Raw genomic sequence first — 22,043 nt, 5'->3', positions numbered from 1 at the left:
GGGGTAAAGAGGCACAGTGCACTGACAGATTTTTTTTTTCAATACTCTGCAGTGTAGCCTCGAAGTTAAGACCTTTTCAACTTAAGACTCTCCTTCTCTCCCTGTAACTGTCTTGTCTTTACTCCAAGCAGACTTGGAAGTCTTCAGCTCCTGAATGGACTGAAACCACGAAATCTGAGTTCCATTATTAATCATGTATTTACCTTAGCTAATTGTGTTTTCAAAACTTTCATCCTTTCGTGTAGTTTTATAGGGTATATGCTCTGTAAGAATTCTCGTTTTCAGGCTTATTGCTTTTCCTATGCCACAGACTCCTTCCTTTCTTCCTTCAAACATGTAAAGATCTCTTATAGTGGGTAACAGTATGTATTCTAGAGCCAGGCAGTCCTGGCTGAAGTCCTGACTTGGTCCTGGCTATCTCTGTGAACTTGAGCAAGTTTCTTAACCTCTCTGTTTTAGTTTCTTCATCTGTAAAATGACAATAATAATAATTCCTACCTCATATGGTTGGAGTGGGGATTACATGATTTAATACTTTGAAGTACATAGAAGATGCCTGATACATAGGAAGTAGTCAGTAAATGTTACTATTATTATCATTATCCTTTTCATCATCTCCCATGCTCAGTCACTGAGATTTGTTAATTTTTCTTTTTTAGACTCTATCACATTTGCTTCTCTTTGCCCACCAGCACTGATAGAGTTCCAGACCATGACATTAGTACCTCATGCTTGGGTAGAGTACTGCCACAATTTTCAAGAGAGCTTCTATTAACACCCTCCTGCCTCTAATTGCTAGTTTGTGCCAGTGCTTTTCAGTACTAGACTAATAACAGTTTGATATTGTCACACCCCTGCCCAAGAGCTCACAGCATTTTTCAGAATCTTGTTTTATCAAGCCCCTATTCCCTTACCTGACTCTGGCTTATCATTACTCTCTTCCTCTACTCAGGCCTGTCTTGTATTTTCTCATCTACCTTATGTACTTGGACATTTGCTCATGTTCTTCCTTTAGTCTTTAGGCCCTTCCTTAATGTCCTTACCTTTGTACTCTTATTATTTCTGTCCTAGCCATACATAAAGAATCCAATGATTCTTTCTTTTCTTGTTTTTTTTTTTTTTAATTTTGAAATAAAGTCTCGCTCAGTCACCCAGGTGGAGGGCAGTTATGGGAAGAATCCAGTGTTTCTAAGAGCCTTTCTGGATGTTAAGAACTGAGCTTGGTCAGGAACAGGATTGGTAGAAATGGGAGAGACTCAGACTAGAAAGACAGGTTGATTTAGAGATCAGAGTATGGATTGGGGATTAGAGCCTTTAAATTTAAGAATGACAAAGAGGAGCTAAAGTCTGAAAAGAAGATCTAAGGTGGAAGGAGCAGTTTAAGGTGTAAGGATTAGGAAGTGAAGGGATGGTATATGAGTGACAACTGAGAGCAAAATTTCTAGGGAGTGTTGAACATCTGAGATGTCGCTAAGGTTTGAGATAGAGCTGGGCAGATCCAGATGGACCAGCTGGTTTTAAGGTCCACATGGACAGGCAAGATGGCGTACTTATAAACTGGTAAGAGAACTAGTTAAGATCAAGAACCAGGTGTTAGCAGTCTGAAGCAGTGAGCAGTGACGTCTCAGGCACTCAGAGACTGGAGTTGTAACAGAATAAAATAGGTCTCCTGGTAAGGCTCTAGTATCAAAATTAGCACAGGATAACATCAAAACTGAGTGTGCTGAGCCAAAAGACTACTAAATTTCCTTCTGGCTAAGATCAGAACTGGGTTGTGAGAATATTGCTGTTTTGAGGCAACTTGATAGGCTCCTTTACCAGAGGTATAGGGCTAGAGTGACTACGATTAATTAAGGCCTTCACTGATTTCAGTGAACTTAGTGTATGTTCCATATTATTGAGCTCCCAATTAAACGCCACTACTATCTTGTATTGCTGTAGTAGACAGCTGTGAGTCTCATTTTCTCCATTCATATCTTAAGCTACTTCAGATTAGGACCATTTTTAAAAAAGAGCCTTGTTGTGATATGATTGGCATACCAATGTGTACATTTAAAGCACACAATTTGATGTTTGACCTATGTATGAGGATAAAACTATCACAATCAAGAAAACGAACATATTCATCACCCTCAAAAGTTTCCTTGTGTTCGCTTATAATTCTTCCTTTCTGTACCTGTACCTCTTTTTCCCCTCTCTTCCCCTTTCTATATATATATATATATATATATATATATATAAATTTTTTTTTTTTTTTTTTTTTTTTTTTTTTTTAAAGAGGTGGTATCTCGCTCTGTCATCCAGGCTGGTGTGTGGGCGTGATCATAGCTCACTGTAATATAGAACTTGGCTTAAGCAATCCTCCTGCCTCAGCCTCTTCAGTAGCTGGGACTACAGGCATGTGCCACCATGCCTCGCTATTTTCTAGAATTTTATTTAAATGGAACCATACAGAATAAGCTATTTTTGTTTGACTTTCTTCCATTCAGTATATTTATTTTTACCCCCTTAAAAAAAAGTATAGTTATTTTGAGTGTCAGTAGTTCACTTCTTTTTATTGCTGAAGAGTATTCCATTGTATGGATATATCTCTATTTTTTCATATACCTTTTGAGACCAGGAAACAGTCATTCTGTGCGTGATAAGAGAATTGACTGAATTCGGAGACCAGAGGATGAAAGGGAAAAATAGTATGGAGAGAAAACGAGAATAATTATCTTTGTCTTCGAAGGAAGTGAGTTGTTATAATAGTTGTAGGGTATTTGTTTTGGTCTGACTTGACTTCCTGTTGGTTTATCATTTTTCTGTAATAGTCTGCTAATGCTACTGAAGAGGAGTATAAAAAAACTCAGTTATAGGCCAAGTGCGGTGGCTTATGCCTGTAATTGCAGTGCTTTTTGAGGCCAAGGCAGGAGGATCACTTGACCCCAGGAGTTCAAGACCAGCCTCAGCAACAGAGAACTCAGGTCTGTTAAAAATAACAAATGAGCCAGATAATGGTGGCATGCGCCTATGGTCTCAGCTACTGAGGAAGCTGAGGCAGGAGGATTGCTTGAGCCTGGGAGGTTGAGGCTGAAGTGAGCCATGATTGCACCACTGTATTGCAGCCTAGGTGACAAAGTGAGACTCTGTCTCAAAAAAAAAAAACAACAACAAAAACCAACCTCAATAATCGTGTTACATAGCAACTTCAAGTAAACTTGAACACCTCTAAATTTGTCTTTCAGACAAAAAAAAATTACAAAGTATTTTTAAAGTTTAGAATTGGAACACAGTATAGATCATGTGTTTCCTAATTTCTTCTAGAAGTCACATCATTAACTACATTGTTATTTAACATATGCTCTCAATTCTGTTGTGTTTACCATAGGTACTGTATTTATTTCAAGGTTTTTCTTTCTAGAATATCTTGATTTTGAATCTGATGATTAAGTTTAAAAATATTTTGTTTTGTAGCCATGCAGGATATACGTACTGTGGGTCTTGTGCTGCCCATGCTTATAAACAAGTGGATCCGTCTATTACGTAAGTAATGTAGTTTTGTTTTAAGTCGGAGAAGCTTGAGAATTTATTGCTTTGTTATAGAAGTAATTTGCTTTTTATACTTATTGTTATTATGTACTCAATTTCATGAGGGATTTGACTTTTGATGAATTTTACTATACTTTGTATAGGTTACTGAAAACTTCAATACTTCTTTTTTGTTGTTGTTGGAGCATTTGATTTTTACCTTCCCTTTGGCATGTAAAATGTTTAGTTATGAAGGTTAAATATTTTGTTTTTTGATATTTCTTTGAAAACCCAGAGATGAGCATTCTTAAGAAAAATGCAAAGCCCTCTGATCTGTTTTAATCATTTCGTAATTTAAGATTCTTTATTGTACTTGTTAAAATTGTGGTTACTGAAAGGATAATTTCTCGTTGACAGGATAAGGTATTTGAAATATTTTAGAATCTGACAGTGAATTTAATATGGTGTTTGAGGCATATTAACTCTTAATAATTCAATGACAGCTCTGAAATTAGCTTAGAAAAAAAAAAACTTCCTGGGAACTTGAGACTCTTTTAATAGTATACTACTCTGTAAGAAACTTGTGAACTTACAAGAGGTTTTGCTGGAAATAGTCACTCATTTTATTTACACAGTTAATTTACTAGATATGAACCAATATCTGGCCCTTCTTTGCCAGATGTACAAGCTATGTGAATAGGTAAAGCGATCATCTTAGTTCTGTCAAATACTGATTGTTAGGTCTGAATTAGTAGAGATGTAGGATAGTTATTCAAAAGAAATAGCTCATAGCAGCCATGATTTAATAAAGAAAATCATGCACAGACCACTTGCCTTTGAGCAGTTCATTCAAAGTTTTAAAACAAAAAAGCTGTTCTTTCAAATTTTTATGTAGCGTTCTCTGTACATTGTATTATAATTCATTGAAAATTATTTTTAGCAAGTTTTTACTAAAAATAAAGCAATAATATTTCTAAATTGGTGAGGTTTTGGCTAGCCCTGTCTCATTTATGATGTTTTGAGGAGCATTGTTAACAATTATTCCTTGATACATGCTTAATATATAATCTTAAGTAATTTCATGAATAAGAGCAAATAGAAGTTAAATTGAAATGATTTTTTAGTCTGGGCCTGGTGGCTAACACCTGTAATCCCAGCACTTTGGGAGGCTGAGGCGGGCCGATTACCTGAGGTCAGGAGTTTGAGACCAGCCTGGCCAATATGGTGAAACCCCGTCTCTACTAAAATACAAAAAAAAAAAAAAAAAAAATTGCCAGGCGTGGTGGCACACGCCTGTAGTCTCAGCTACTTGGGAGGCTGAGGCAGGGGAATCACTTGAATCCGGGAGGTGGAGGTTGCAGTGAGCCAAGATCGCGCCACCGCACTCCAGCTTGGCAACAGAGCAAGACTGCGTTTCAAAAAAAATATATATATATTTTATAAGCTTCTTTCATTTGACTTGGGCCTATAAACCAGCTATAATAAAAGTTAGTTTATATAACAGCCTTTTCTTTTTGAAACCTTCCTCTATTTGGCAGAAGTTTTATTGATAAAACTCCTGTGCTGATGGGACACCCCAGAGTTAAATTAGGTTTAGGAATTTGTAGAGGGGTATAGATAGAGTTTATGTTCATAGAAGTGGAAAGCATGTGTTAAATAGGTTAATGGAAAGTGAGAAAGAAGGCAAAAGGAAAGAGGAAAAAATGGAAGAGCGCCAAGGACTAAGAAGAGGAAGATTTAAGAAGATGAGTAGAAAGAGAGGCAAATGATGGCTGATGTGATCGAATTATTTTATTCTAATTAATTAATTAAGTATTTTTGAGACACAGTCTGGCTCTGTCACCCATGCTGGAGTGCAGTGGTGCAGTCTTGGCTCACTGCAACTTCTGCCCCCAGGTTCAGTCAGTTCTCCTGCCTCATCCTCCCAGGTAGCTAGGACTACAGGTGCACGCCACCACACTGAGTTAATTTTTTGTATTTTTAGTGGAGACACGCTTTCGCCTGGCTTTGGCCAGGCTGGTTTCAAATTCCTGACTGCGGGTGATCCGCCCACCTCGGCCTCCCAAAGTGCTGGGATTACAGGCATGAGCCACTGTGCCCAGCCCGATCAAATTATTTTTTGTAATTAGTATATAATAACTGAATTCTGAATGAATAAATTTTAAGGTCTAAGTGTAAAATTAATAATTGACAGTCACAGTTGAATTCTCTTGAAAGAGGCACTCTCTGGGAATTATAGTGTCTTTAGAGTGCTTTGAGAAAGTAGAGGAAGAACATCCTTAGAGAAAGGTTAAATTCTATACTACCACTTTCTATTCTTACCTTCCACATTAATCCATTTTTGTTCTATATTTCAGCCAGGATCATCTTTTGAAAATGTAAATGATACCCTGTCACTTTCCAGAATTTAAAAGTGGGTGGGGGGTACAAATATGATTTTAAAAGGCATTACAAATAACAGGTAAAAATTATTCCAAAATTGATGATAGAATGCTGACTAGCAGCTTGGAAAAAGAATTGGTTTAGAACCTCTGCTAACACCATCCATCAAAGTAAATACTAGTTAGATAAGGGTATTAACATATCTGGAGAGGAATTTCAAGCCACAGCTAATTTGGAACACAATATGTCTTAATGTTTATGAGACATTGTTGGGAAGAGTATAAAACATGATAAATTATAATTAAATTACATGAAAAAATAACTCATGTCATAATGTAACCAGTGGAAGCGATGAACGGAATGGGAAAAATATTTGCAAAAAAAGACAAAGGATAATATCAAAAATAATAAAAATCATAGTACTTAGAGGCTAAATCATCAAAGAATATTAACTGAAATTACAAAAAGTAAATGTAATTAATAAAAATAAAAATGGAAATATGTTTTATTTTTCAAAAAAATGGAAATAAAAACAGTAGTGAGGTACCAATTTAAATGAACAGTTTGAAGAACAATACAGCTATGTAATTCCTGTAATCCAGAACTGGCTAGATTATGGCAAAATTAGTTTTTTATAAAAAAATGCATTTCAATGGACTATATCAGGTTAATACTTTAGGAAAGCAATTTGATAATATATATTAAGAGTCATAAAAATGTATATAGTTACTGGCTTAGAAATTCACGTTCGGAAGCTCTATCCTAATAAGTCCCAAAATGGAAAAAGTTAAATGTGTTAGGTTTTCTACAGCAGCATTGTTTTTTAAAGAGTCTAAGTTTCTGATAGTGCATTGACTAAATAAAAAAAGCGGGGTATAACATTGTGTAAAATTGGGAAAAAAGAGAATGTACTATATGAGGTTAAATAAATTATTATAACGAATGCTAATAGTTTGCATGTGTTTTCTTATATGAGAAATGGATATATTTTTATGGTAAAAAATATAAAATTTAAAAGCATTTGTGCAAAAATGATTACAAGTTGTGGGGACTAATGATTCTTAAACTGACAGAATGATTCTTTGATTTATAATAGGACTGGTCAGGGTCTAATAAGATTTTTCTTTTTCTTCTTCTTTTTTTTTTTTTTTTTGAGATGGAGTCTCTCTTTGTCACCCAGGCTGGAGTGTAGTGGCGCAATCTTGGCTCACTGCAACCTCCGCCTCCTGAGTTCAAGTGATTCTCCTGCCTCAGCCTCCCAAGTAGCTGGGATTACAAGCGTATGCCACCAGGCAGGCCTGGCTAATTTTTTTATTTTTAGTAGAGACAAGGTTTTACCATGTTGGCTAGGCTGGTCTCGAACACCTCACCACAACTGATCTGCCTGCCTTGGCCTCCCAAAGTGTTGGGATTACAGGCATGAGCCGCTGTTCCTGGCCAAGATTTTTCTTTTCACAGTAACTATTAGGGGGCTGATAACTTAATGGGGAGTGTGAGAGGCAGCTTTTGAGGTGATAATGAAGATTGTTTACAAACAAACTTGCCTGTTCTATGAAGAATTGGTAGCAAAGGTTTTCAGGTGTTGTTTTCCAAGAGAAATGGATGAATAAATTAAAGCATATTTATTTTAAAAGTTTATTAAGTGACTGCTATGATCCAGATATTGTGGTAGTGCTAGAGACACAGTGATTAATAAAACAGGCATGGTTTTAGCCCTGTGCTGCTAAATTGGTAGGTGAGATAGATATTAAGCATATGATAATGAATATAGATATCTTATTAAAAGCTAAAAATTTAATTAAAAAGCTGAAAGTGAAATACAGTGGTTCTCAAACATCTTGGTTTCAGGAACCCTTAACTTATTAAGGACACCAAATGTAGACCACATCTACCTTTGTGGAATGCATTCAAAATTAAAATGAGATACTTAAAAAATTATTTAAAAAAGTAAACAAATTAGAGGTTAATAAAAATAACATTTTTAAAAATGAGAAATAAATACATTTTCTAATAGAAGATAGTGGGAAAAGTGGCATTGCTTTACTTTTTTTTTTTTTTTTACAAAATATAAAAATGTCTTACAGTTTTACTAGTTATTAAATCTCCTTTTAATGTTTGGCTTAATAAAAGACAACTATGTTTTCATATCTGGTTATGCATTCACCCTGTTTTGATCATTTGTTTTAGTTGACGTATATGAAGAAACCTCACACAGATATGTAGTTAGAAAAGGAAGAGGAGTAGTGTAATTACCTTTGCAGATAATTGTGGATATTTTTCTTTAATACTACACCAAAACTCAACAAATGGTAGTTTCTTAAAGGTTAGTTATAATGCGAAATCTGAAGTTACTATCAATGAATTTTTGTACTTATTTTTTTGAGACAAAGTCTTGCTCTGTCACCAGGCTGGAATGCAGTGGCGCTATCTCAGCTCACTGCAACCTCCACCTCCTGGATTCAAGTGATTCTCCTGCCTCAGTCTCCCGAGTAGCTGGGACTACAGGCGAACGCCACCATGCCCAGCTAATTTTTGAATTTTTAGGGTTTCACCATGTTGGCCAGGATGGTCTCAATCTCTTGACCTTGTGATCGACCTGCCTCGGCCTCTCAAAGTGCGGGGATTACAGATGTGAGCCACCGCACCCAGCCGAATATTTGTACTTTGTATAAATTCATTGTCTGTTTTACAGTTTGAATGGCTCTTTTACCCTGGCATAATTTTGTAACGTGTGGAGCATTTGGAAAATTTTTATTGGATTATGCAGATATTTTCAATGCTGGTATTTCATTATATGATAGTAAAAAATCACTTTTTGTTTTGTTTTGTTTTGTTTATTTTTCTTTTTTTTTTGAGGCAGAGTTTCGTGCTTGTCGCCCAGCTGGAGTGCAGTGGCAGGATCTCAGCTCACTGCAACCTCCACCTCCTGGGTTCAAGGGATTCTCCTGCCTCGGTCTCCCGAGTAGGTAGGATTACAGGCACATGCCACCACGCCCTGCTAATTTTTGTATTTTTAGTAGAGACGGTTTCACCATGTTGGCCATACTGGTCTCAAACTGCTGACTTCAGGTGATCCACCCACCTCGGCCTCCCAAAGTGCTGGGATTACATGCGTGAGCCACTGTGCCTGGCAAAAAATAACATTTCTTAATGTCACCATGTATTTTATCAGAAAAAATCATTAATTCTTTGGAGGCTATCAAGCTTACAGTGATAAAAGTTTTATGAAAGTCCAATTTTCACTTGAAAACCTTAATTTTATCATTGACAACAAGTATATTATTTTCTTTAAAGTGCTAGATTCTGTTTTTTTTTTTTTTTTTCCCTTTTGAGACAGGATCTTGCTCTGTCACCCAGTCTGGAGTCAGTGGCATGATCATAGCTCACGCAGCGTTGAATTCCCAGGCTCAAGTGATCCTCCTATTCCAGCCTTCTGAGTAGCTAGGACTGCCAGCCTGTGCCAGCATGCCTGGCTATTTTTTAAAAATTTATTTTTGTAGAGATGTGGTCTCACTATGTTGCTCAGGCTGGTCTTGAACTCCTGGCCTCAAGCTGTCCTCCCACCTCAGCCTCCCAAAGTGCTGAGATTACAGGCATGAACCACCGTGCCTGACTTCCATTCACTTTGGGGAAATCTTCTGCCAGCTACCTAAATTGGAATAGCCGTAATTTATCTACAGTTGTCTTTTGAAGTAAAAATTTTGTTCCATGAGGAAAATGTCTGGTTCAGCTTACAACTCAAAACTACACAACTGCTTTTTCCTGAAACATACTTCCATATGCAGCAGAAATGTTTTATCACCACAGATTGAATGCATTTTGTCATATAGAATATTAAAAAGATACCTACTCGAGAGTCAAGATTTAATGAAATTAGGAACTCCCTTTTAAACTTAGTGTGAGTAAGGTTAAAAAATAGGACTGCTAGTGCATGTTGATGATACTGCTTTGATCTTTGTTCTAATGGGCCAGTGGTTTTACGCTCCCCTCACCTTTGCACCATAAGTGCAAATGAAAAAAGTAAATAACTTCCTTGCATTCTTATGAAAATAGTTTTAATTTTATGGACTGCTGCATAGGGTCTTGAGGAAAACCAGAATTCCAGAGTTCACAGTTTGAGAACTATTGTGGTAGACCTTAAGAGGGTGACTTGATTTAAATTGTGGGAAAGGTATTGGGGAAAGTATCTCCGGGAACAGATTTTTTTTTTTTTTTTTTTTTTTTGAGACGGAGTCTTGCTCTGTCCCCCAGGCTGGAGTGCAGTGGCACAATCTCAGCTCACTGCAACCTCTGCCTCCCGGGTTCAAACGATTCTCCTGCCTCAGCCTCCTGAGTAGCTGGGATTACAGGCGTGTGCCACCACGCCTGGCTAATTTTTTGTATTTTTAGTAGAGATGGGGTTTCACCATGTTAGCCAGATGGTCTCGATCTCCTGACCTCGTGATCCGCCTGCTTCAGCCTCCCAAAGTGCTGGCATTTCAGGCATGAGGCACTGCACCCAACCGAGGAACACATTTTTTAAGCCAGGGTAGCCAAGCAATGGGGAACAATAGCATGGGTGAAAAGTTTGAAGTAGGCAAAGTTGTTGGTGTTATCAAGGAACTGCAAGAAGACCAGTATACATCAGGTATTATGATCAAGGTGGGCAAGAGTAATAGCTAATTTGCTAGGGCATTTAAGAGTGTAGAGCCCATTTTAAGGATTCTAGATTTTATCCTGTGACCATGAAATGCCATAAAAGGCTTTAAGCAAGGAAAGTGATATGATCTATGTTTCCAGAAAATCACTTTGACTGTTTAAGGAAGTTTAACAATGATACATTTTAGTTCTTTTCCATATTGGTAGTTGACTATTATTAAAACTCTAAAAACTCAGAATTCAGGATGTCCTTAGGTAGTAGTAACTTGATTTTGATACATATTTTTCAGCAAGCCTTGCAGGACAGAAAAAGAGAGCAAAAAGGAATGCTTTTTGGGGCCAGATGACATTTTATTCTTTGGTTAAAATGTCTTCACTTCCTGTGAAACACGTTTACAAAATTACTTATGTTCCATTATTTGGACTAAGTAGCTGAATAAACAGTCATGAGGGTACACACTCAGGCAGCTTATACATTGGGTGCACAGACTATCATTGCAAATGTGAATTCTCTATTATAGCTATTATATATGAAGTACATTTATTTCTAAGAGAATGCCTACTGATCTTGCTCCTTCCCCCCATTTTTTCGTGTTAAAGGTTTTTTTTTTTTTTAACTTGTGTATCACCGATGATGTGCTAATATTGAAAAGTTACGCCTTTAAAGACAAAGCACCTTGCAGTCAAATAAAGGAAGAGAAAGTGGCATTGCTTCTAATGCCTCTATTATTTATTTCTCTTCAAAATATCCCTGTGGCCTTGGTGTTTACGGATCTAGCATTCTAACAAAGAAAATGCATGAACTTTAATGTACACTATTCATTTTTTTTGTTAGCATTTAGCTAACAAGGAGACCCATTTTGAGATTACGGCTGGTTTAAATGTCCCATTTTACTTTCCTTTCAATGACATTTAGCTTTTTCTGGTTTTGTTTTTAGATATATTGCTTTTAAGGGTTTTATATTGAGGGGACTTAAACCTTTTTTTCTTATTATTTCTTTTAATCAAATATGGAACTTGATTTGGCTATTGGTGAGTTTTCTACCAAACCAGAAAGAATCTGTAGAGTACAGAATTGGTTAATTCAGATTGGTGGGGCTCTTTTTCCTTCATCTAGATTGGGGCAGACAAAAAGGCAAACAAGGAAAGTAGTCAGGTATCAGAAGAGTTAATTAGGCTTCCAGCAGACCTCTGGTGTTTATTTCTGGAGCAGTGTATCTTTTGGCTATTGTTAGAACCTTATTACACTTACTTAGGAAATTTATGTATGCCTTGAATTTAGATTGTTATTTTAAAAATCACTTCATATTTTGACTGTGTGTTTCAGATTTTCCAGGAGTGCTCTGATGTTAAATATCCTTTCTCTCTGTCTTTTCATATTTTCCTCAATCAGAAAAATGCCCTTTCTCATTATTTGATTCTTGGTTCATATACTACCTGGCCCTAGTCAGGCTACCTAAACATTTCTGAGTTACCATTCTCTATAGCCCACGTAAGCCTTTAATTTAAAACAAAGTGTCATGTTATTTATGTGCTATTAAGATAGGTGACCAGAGTGCTATCTTTTAGTTTTTCTTCATTTAGAAATCTATAGATTTGACTTTTTTTTTGAAATGGTTCTCGAATTGATGATAGAGGTGATGACAAGAAGTGAGGATTAGCAGTGCTAATAATTACATATTGAAGGAAGAGAGGTAGAAAGATTCTGTCGTCTATAAGGAACTTAAATTAACGAGCAAGAAACAATCCAGTTGAAAAGAGGGCAAAGGACATGAACAGACACTTTTCAAAAGAAGATACATACGTGGCCAACAAGCATATGAAAAAATTCTCATAATCACTAATCACTAGAGAGATGCAAATCAAAACCACAATGAGATACCACCTGATAATAGAGTGGCGGTTATTGAAAAGTCAAAAATTAACAGATGCTGGCAAGGTTGTGGAGAAAAATAAATGTTTATACATTGTTGGTAGGAGTGTAAATTGATTCAATCATTGTGGAAAACAGTGTGGCGATTTCTCAAAGAACTTAAAACAGAAGTAACTCTGGGCCCCGCAGTCCCATTATTGGGTATGTACCTGAAGGAATGTAAATTGTTCTGCCATAAAGACATATGTACACATGTGTTCACTGCAGCACTGTTCACAATAGTAAAGACAAGGAATCAACATAAATGCCCATCAGTGGTAGACTAGATAAAGAAAATGTGGTACATATATACACTATGTAATATTACACAGCTCTTTAAAAGAATGAGATCATATCACTTGCAGCAACATTGAGCTAGAGGCCATTATCCTAAGCAAACTCCCGTAGGAACAGAAAACAAATACTGCATGTTCTCACAAGTAGAAGCTAAGTATTGAGTACATATGGACGTAAGGAAGGGAACAACAGACACCGAGACCTACTGGAGGGTAGAAGGTGGGAGGAGGATGAGGATAAAAAAACTACTTATGGAATACTAGGTTTATTACCTGGGTGTCCAAATAATCTGTACACCAAACCTTGGCAACACGTAATTTACCTATATTACAAACCCGTACAGGTACCCTTGAACTTAAAGTAAAAGTTAAAGAAAAGGATAATCTGTTTCTGACCAGAAATGGCCTGTGGATGAAGTCTTAATGTTTGCTGTATGTGCTGTCTTAAGGAGGTTTTGGGACTCTAAACTGAGAATCACTTACCCACAACTTTCTTTTTTTTTTTTTTTTCATAGCAGAACAACTTAATATCCACAGCTTTATCTCCTCCCTGCAATTTATGAAGTAACATATAACCAATAATTGGTTAATTTTCTTAGCTGTAATAGAATTTTATGAGAATAAATACATTGCTAAAGCACACATTCCCTGGCCTGCAAATTTTTGACAGAAAAGAACTAGCTCATCTCTCAGCTTTTGTTCATTAATTGAGCAATCAGTAATACTTTTCTAGCTACATAGCATATCATATATTTTCTTCTCATAGTTTTGGCTTTATGAGTCTGTAAGTTTTGTATGTGATGTGGGAAGGTTGGTTCATATGAATTTTGGAGAACAGAGAAAATTGATAGTTTTGGAATTCAGATTGTAGGGCAGGTTTGGGTATTTGACAGAATGAGAGGAAATTAACATTACTCTTGATGTCAAGATAAAGAGATTGTAAAGATTTAAGCTACACTTTAGCTCAGTTCTTTTCTTTAGACTACAGTGCAAATAACACATAATCTAGTTTCTTTGTTTTTGAGAATGACTTCTACTTGAATGGGAATAGAGAAAGCTTATTATATAGAATTCTTTTCAACAAGATGCCTTTTTCACCCTACCATGGAAGAAATATGGAAATAGCTTTATCAGAATGCTTTTTTATAATGGATATTTTGTATAGATATTTAGAATTTTATGCTATTATGCATTTTTATTAAAATCATGGTGGATCTTAGAAGGTTATTTTAGAATGTGTTAGAATTTTGAAATTTTAGTAGCTTAAATGCATAAAATCCATTTAATAAAATACAGCTTCTGAATACCTGTTGCATCCTTGTCATTGAGAGTATAGAGATTATTTTATGCATAGTGGGTTGGTTTACTGTATTAATTGATAACTGGTATTTCCAAGTATTGAATATGATTCTCTTAAAGGCCATCCAACAAAGACAGAAATAAGGAATTGAACTTAACTGAGGAGCAAGTCATTATTAGGTGTATTAGTTTGCTAGGGCTGTCATAACAAAATACCACAGATTAGGTGGTTTAAACAACACAAATTTATTTTTTAACAATTCTGGAAGCTTGAAATTCAATATCAAGTTTCTGTCAGGGTTGGGCCCCTTCTGACATGATCATATCTCTGTGCAGGCATACTTCTGGTGTCTCTTTTTCCTATAAGGACACCAGACTCATTGGATGAGGTCCCCACTCTAATGGCCTCATTTGAACTTAATCGCCTCTTTGAAGACCTTATCTCTAAATAGCACTACAGTCTGTGCTACTGGGGATTGGTTCTTCAACATGTGAATTTTGGAGGGGAACACAGTTCAGCCATTAACAGTTGGTAATTAAGAAGGAAAACAAGTGATTTGTAAGAATTACTTTTTTCTCTTTTATTTAATAAGGTTTGTGTAGAAGTGCAATTGTTACGTGTTTTTTTGTTGTGTATCTCCTAGCCGGAGAATTTTCATCCTTGGGCCTTCTCATCATGTGCCCCTCTCTCGATGTGCACTTTCCAGTGTGGATATATATAGGACACCTCTGTATGACCTTCGTATTGACCAAAAGAGTAAGTATATAGAAATATTATAGCTTTCAAATAGCTAATGTTCTTTTAACAGGACTTGTAAATTAATTTAAAAACTTATGAATATCATAAGTAATATCTCAATATTTAAAATAAAAATTGTTATAACTAATCTGCATAAAACAGCAAAAAAAGAAACTCTTCCATATCCCTAAAAGGCAACTAGTGTTTTTTAGCTAGCTACAGAAATCTGTCAGATCTGCCAGTGTGCAGATTGTAGTGGTTACATTAATATTCAGAAAAATGCCATGTACTCAGTGTACCAGGAGACAAAAAATTAGTACCCATACCAATTTCATAAAGATTCTGGGCGTGTTAATTTACTTCCATGTAACGCCACTTTTCTCACTGTAAATAGATAATGCTGATAATATCTTTATTTTCTTTCAAATGATTTTTATGGGAAAAAATGAGCCTTTAATTATGAAACTCTGAAAGAAAGGTGCTATATAAATGATAAATATATTTTATTTTTAAACATGCCTACAATTTTGGTTGATTTATTTTTTTCCATAGGCGTCCAGAGTCACGTTTTTATTTAGTAGTTCTTACACAATAGATGTATAAAGTAAAAATCTTTTGATTTTATAAAGGTATTTTTTCTTTTGGGGGGGGGAGTAATTTTAAAAATATAGAACAGTATAAAGAGTACTATAAGAAATTAACTGATGTACTTAACATCCACAATTTATTCAGAATTTCTCGCTCATCCTGAACCCAATTTACCTTCCCAGAAGTAACCACCTTCATGATCTGGGTATATGTCCTTTCAGTTAGTCAAATTATTCACACACACGCATGTACACACACACACACACACACACACACACGTGTATGTGTGTGTGCATGTGCATGTATACATATGCATATATATGTACACACACGCCCATATGTGTGTATATATATAAACACACACACACACACCCCGACACACACATATATATATTTTTGTTTTTAGAGATGGGGTCTCACTCCGTTGCCCAGGCTGGAGTGCAGTGGCATGATTATAGTTCACTGCAGCCTCAAACTCCTGGGCTCAAGTGATCCTCCTACCCCAGCCTCCCAAGTAGGTAGGACTACAGGCACACATCACCAAACCCAATTAATTAAAAATATTTTTTTTGGTAGAGGTAGGGTCTTGCTATGTTGCCCAGGCTGATCTTGAACTCCTGGTCTCAAGCAATTCTCCTGTCTTGGCCTCCCAAAGTGCTGGGATTATCAGTGTGAGCCACTGTACCTGGCCTCAAATTATATTTTTAAGTATGTTAGGGGTGCTATTGTTTCAAAGAATTTTGCAGAAATTTCTTGTATAGAATAAAAGAGTCAAGGCCTAGTGTGGTGGTTCATGGCTGAAATCCCAGCACTTTGAGAGGCTGAGATGGGCAGACTGCTTGAGCTCAGGAGTTTGAGACCAGTCTGAGCAATGTGGCAAAACCCCATCTGTACAAAAAAATACAAAAATCTGCTGGGCATGGTAGCACGTAGCTGTAGGTTGGGGGAGGGCATGGGGCAGCGAGGTAGGAGGATGGCTTGAGCTCCGGAGGTAGAGGTTTCAGTGAGCTGAAATCATTTTGCTGTCCCCAGCAAAATGCTGTCACCCAGCCTGGCCTGGGTGACAGGGTGAAGCCCTGTCTCCAAAAATAAATAAATAAATATAAAAATAAAATAATAAAAGAGTCCATTTGCAAGAAAAAATTCTTCTTTCTTATTTTTGGCATAAGTTTTCATAATTTGAGGCTTTAGGTATCACACAATATTAGCAATTTGTTAATGCGTCTTATTAATGAAATGAGTATTTCTAACCTTACTTCCTGAGAGGGTTTTAGGGAACACATTTTACTTTTAAAACCTTGTTGGGGCATTCAGAAAATTTTAATTTTGGGTAGCTTGCCAGTGAAGAAATAGAGAATTTTTTCAAGAAAAGAGGTCATACAACCATTTATTTCTTTCTTTGATACAGGTAAACCCATTTAAGGATCTAATTATAAAATTGGTTCTATTCTATGCTAAAAATATTCTTATACATATTTTTTACATGTTAACTTTTATCTTTTTCTTGTTCCACAATATTCAATTTTAAGCACAGTTCATCAGAAAGGCCTGAATTACTAGGTGTTTTAAAGTTGGGACGGTATTGTGGCGAATTTATATTTTGATCCATCCTACAAGCTTAATTTTGAATTTTCAGGAAAATAGCATTAGTGAGAATTTTCTCTTCTTGGTATGGCAGAAACCTCAGGTGTGAAATAATACCACACATTTTATTAAAAAACAAAACTCAGAAACTGTGCTTTTGACCTCATGAGTTAAATAGACTAGTGGTTTTTCCATATTTCAGTAGGAATTCTAATTATGTTCTTGCTAGCATGTACTGATTAAAGTCAAGGAAAAGCCTAGACCCGAAGGTGATTTTAGAAATAATGAAAGGAGCTGATGAAGAATTTAAATTATCATTTTTTATATAACTATGTAACATATACAAATGATGAGTAAGTCTTTACACGTATTACTGTTTTACCTGTTACATAAAAACTAGTTCTGTTTTTTTCTCTTTCTCCTTACTCTCCCTCCTTCCTTTCCTTTCTTTCTATTGTTTTGTTTTGTTTTAATAAAAATGAGAATATTATATGGTGTTTCTGTCTCTTGCCAAAAAGCATGTAGTTTTGTGTTACTGGGTGGAATCTCACAGGATAAGGATATACATTAATATATTTATTTTACTGTATTTTGAAATCTCTTTAGTTTACGGAGAACTGTGGAAGACAGGAATGTTTGAACGCATGTCTCTGCAGACAGATGAAGATGAACACAGTATTGAAATGCATTTGCCTTATACAGCTAAAGCCATGGAAAGGTATATTGATTGATATAAGAAATCCCCAGGAAATCATAGACATTAATTTCTTTGGTAATTTAAAACTAGTAAATCCTAGTAATTATCAGGGTAAGGAGATTAAGATGTGAGATAAAAAATTGAGACAAGAATGTCTTAAGGTGGATTGTTGGTTTTGAATAGTTTGCCTATGAAGGCTGAACATACGAATTGACATGATGGTTTTATTAGGTGGAAGTATTAAAAAACCCATGGGTATGTGAGTGTATGTGGGTATGTATATATCTTGCTTTGCTTGTATTTTATTCATTAGACATTTCTTTATCTCAGAATAATAATTACATTCTTTTATGGTACAATGCTATAATTAATCGTAAAATTTTAGGCTTGTATTTAATGTTGGAGGTCATTTATTTCAACCTTGTGCAAGGTACATGAATCTCTTTTATGGTATGCTCGACAGACTGTTACGTGGTACCTGCTAAAGGTCTTCCTGTGATGGGCTACTCACTGTACTGTGAGCCGAACGAGGACAGGGACAATATCTATTTTGTTCTCTACTGTATACCCCACCGCCTAGCACAGTGTCCAGCACATAGTAGTTATTATGTATTTTGATAAAATAAAAAAATTATTTCAAGGGTTTTCTTCTTTTAGTGAAACATTTGGATTAGGAGGTCTTCTCTTTTGTAGGTTTCTCTAATTTTTAAAACCATTTCCTATATATGGACTTAATATTTCATATTTAGTTTGGCAGTTCTAAGTATGGTAAGATGATTCCTTCTGGATTTGTTCATTATATTAGTAAAGTACATGATGCTCTGTACGCTCTCAGTAAATATTAATTAAATGTACTAATAAAGTCTAAGATAACATTATATTTTTTATGTTGATGTAGCTTACTGTTGGCAAATGTACTTGTGATCAGCCAAAGCCCAAGGCCTTTTCATAATATTCAGATGGATTATTTTCTGTTCTCAGACTTTTGTGTGGTTATTTCTTTTTTACCCTAAATATGTATGTCTTCTCAATTATTGCTGTTTAGTTTTTCTTGTTTAGTTCATTATCGCAGTCTTTTTGGATTGTTTTCCACTCTAATTCTGTATTCAAAGTATTATTTACTTTTCTCAATCTTTTGTCTGCTTCTGCTCACAATGATAACCATGAGGAATTATATAAATCTGAAGAATTTTCAAAAAATCAGTGTGATACTACATTATAAGCAATATAATTTTAGGGTTTTTAATACATCCTAATTCTTCAGAAATGTGAAACCATATATATTACTTCTTGAATTGTTGTTGTAATCAGAACTTTCTCTTCTTCAACCGGAAAAGACAATTGAATATTGTTATTCACTGAGATGTTTGCATATTTTGTCATGAGAAAATATAATTTAGACTTAATAAATACTAATACTTTGGGTGCAGTGGTGCTTGTCTGTAATTCCAGCACTTTGGGAGGCGGAGGTGGGCACATGGCTTGAGCCCAGAAGTTCAAGACTAGCCTGGGCAATGTGGCAAAACTCTGTCTCTACTAAAAATAGAAAAATTAGCGGTGTGTGGTGTCGGGTGCTTGTTGTCCCAGCTACTTGGGAGGCTGGGGTGGGATGATTGCTTGAGCCTGGGTGGTTGAGACTGCAGTGAGCCGAGATTATGGCACTGCACTCCAGCCTAGGTGACAGAGTGAGAACCTGTCTCAAACAAACAAACAAACCCAAAAAACAATAAGACCAATAAACTGACAACAATATCCTCAAGGAGGTTATAACAAAATAACATTTTTATTGTTATTTTAAAAGTAAAACATGTATATTGTGGAACATTTAGGAAAATAGAAACTTAAAAGCCAGCAAACCAAATTCCTATTTATAATTCCCCCTTTTAAATAGTATCAAATAAACTACTGCCACATTACATTAGGGTCCCTAATATTGACCCTTAGATAGTACTTAGTGTCTTTTCTTTGTAGCATTAGTTGGACTCATTACCTATGTCAGTTATTTATTACTAAGTAACAAAACCTCTTACTTAAAATTACCTATATTAGTTATCTTTTACTAAGTAAAAGTAACTTAGTAAAACTTAGATTTAAACTGTGACTTAAAATCACAGCTGTTTATTGCCTAAAATTTGGGGGCCAGGAATTGGGGCAGAGAACACCTTGCTCCGGTCCACAAGACACTGACTTAGGTGGCTCAAATGGGGCTACAGTATCTCAGATAGCATCACTCCTGTGTCTTGGGCCTTAGTGCTGGCTCTCTGTTGAGACCCCTCATTTCTTCTCCAGCTGACCTGTTTGTTCTTCAAGTAGGACTTTTTTTTTCTTTCTTTTTTTTGCTACTCTCTAGAAGAATAGCTTAGACTTCTTCTTCTTTTTTTTTCCCCCTTCTGTTTTTGGATCAAGAGAGTAAAACCAGAAGTTTCTAGGCCTATTATGTCCTAGGCTGGAAACTACATAGCACATTTCCAGTGAATTGTGTTTTCCAAAGCAAATAAGATCACTGTGTCAGCCAAGATTTAAGGAAAAAAGCAATATATTGCTCCTCTTGATGGGAGGAGTAGCATGTATATACAGGAATAAGAGAAACTGTTGACAGCCGTCTTTGCTGATAGTCTACTACAGTTCTTCCTCTGGTGGACAATTCATGTCTCTTTAACATGTCATATACACCCAGCCCTCCCAGGATGTTCAGAAATCTTACTTGCTATGACCCTAGGCTCAAAATCTATTATCTTGTGATCTCCATCAAGTTAGGATGTGAATGAGGCTCCTTGAGTGTGGTTTCTCTTTTTTTGGAGAAGTGGGTGTTGGGGGAAAGAGTCTCAGCTCTGTTGCCCAGGCTGGAGTGCAGTGGCATGATCATGGCTCACTGTAGCCTCTGCCTCCTGGTCTCAAGCAATCTTCCCACCTCAGCCTCCCAAAGCAATGGGATTATAGGCATGAACCACTGTGCCTGGCCTCTTTTTTTTTTTTTTTTTTTTTAAAAAGAGACAGGGTCTCATTCTGTCACCCAGGCTTGAGTGCAGTGGCACAATTATAACTCACTGTAGCCTTGAACTCCTAGGCTCAAGGGATCTTCCTACCTCAGCTTTCAGAGTAGTGGCACTACAGGTATGTACTACCATATCTGGCTAATTTTAAAAACTTTTTTTTTAAGAGACGGGAGCTTACTTTATTCCTCAGGCTGATCTTGACCTCCTGGTCTCAAGTGAGCTTCTTACTTCAGCCTCCCAAGTAATGTCTTAGTTACCTATTGCAGCATAACAAATCACCTCAATGTATGCATTTTTTTTAATTGAAAACAAATTTTTTAATTTTTGTGGGTGCATGGTGTATATATGGGGTACATGAGAAGTTTTGATACGGTCATGCAGTGTAAAATAATCACATCATGGAGAATGGGATATTAATCACTTCAAGCATTTATCTTTAGTGTTCCAGACAATCCAGTTATATTCTTTTAGTTACTTAAAAATGTACAATTGAGTTATTGACTATAGTCACCCTGTTGTGCTACCAAATACTAGTTCTTACTCATTTTGTTTTGTATCCATTAACCATCCCCACCTACCCTTTAGCCCTCCACTATTCTTCCCAGCCTCTGGTAATCATCCTTCTACTCTCCACGTCTGTGAATTCAGTTGCTTTGATTTTTAGGTCCCACAAATGTGTATTTTTTTCACTTACGATTCTATAGTTTGGAAATTTGGTAGGGTCAGTGGAGATAATTTGTCTCTGTTTCATCTGCTGCCAATTGAGGCAGTTTGACTTAGGCTAAAGACTCCAAGATGCCCTAGCTTCCTCTCTGGGGCCGTGGTGCTGGTTGTCTTCTTGAGGCACATCAGTTTTCATCTTGGTTCTCGTCTATCTCTGCCTGTTGACACTCACCCTTCAGGACTTCTCTCTTCACGTGGTGAATCCTCTCTAGCAGGATAGCAATTGAGCAAAAGTAGAAATTTCCAGCCCTCTTAATATCGAAGTCTAGAACTGGCACAGCATCACTTATGCCTCATTCTACTGGTCAAACCGCATCATAAGGCTAAATTCAAGGAGAGGGAACTAGGGATGCTATTTTTGATGGGAGGAGTGACATTGAGCATTGAGAGGTGGGAAGAATTTTTGGTGATTGGATTTGTAGAAACTGTGGTTAAATAGTTGACGGATTATTTGTATATAAGTCTGTGTCCCTTCCATGGTAGTTCCATAATGTTTTCTGCCTGGAGCAACTAGTCTTGACCGTATCTGCTATGCATAGCACAGTACCTGGTACACAAAAAGATTTCAGTAATTGATTGTTGAATGAATTAATAACTGTCTTGCCATTTTCAGTACTTTAATTATTTTTCCAAAAAGTGGATCAAATGTTCTTTTTTTAAAAAAAAATTACATGTTTTT

General features: G+C 36.2%; 1 protein-coding gene across 22 annotated transcripts in view; it reads left to right on the top strand.

The window, feature by feature from the left end:
* MEMO1 (mediator of cell motility 1) overlaps positions 1–22,043 on the top strand; it is a 143,186-nt gene that overhangs the window by 75,417 nt on the left and 45,726 nt on the right. For 16 of the 22 annotated variants that reach the window (NR_126034.4, NR_163996.2, NR_163998.2 and 13 more), the window contains 3 exons: positions 3,457–3,525; positions 14,682–14,794; positions 17,555–17,666. The exons of 1 other annotated variant lie outside the window; for it this stretch is intronic. Coding sequence is in view for 15 of the 21 variants with exons in the window: in NM_001371914.2 (NP_001358843.1) it covers positions 3,457–3,525; positions 14,682–14,794; positions 17,555–17,666 (294 nt within the window). In the remaining 6 variants the exon portion in view is untranslated. The remainder of the gene's footprint in view (positions 1–3,456; positions 3,526–14,681; positions 14,795–17,554; positions 17,667–22,043) is intronic. 5 more of the 22 variants (NM_001371916.2, XM_047444635.1, NM_001137602.4 and 2 more) reach the window with 2 other exon arrangements.

Source organism: Homo sapiens, chromosome 2, assembly GCF_000001405.40.
Source record: "Homo sapiens chromosome 2, GRCh38.p14 Primary Assembly".
In the NCBI taxonomy this organism is placed as follows: domain Eukaryota; kingdom Metazoa; phylum Chordata; class Mammalia; order Primates; family Hominidae; genus Homo; species Homo sapiens.
The sequence above is the reverse complement of the archived record's forward strand: the minus strand, read 5'-3'. Positions and strand labels throughout refer to the sequence as shown.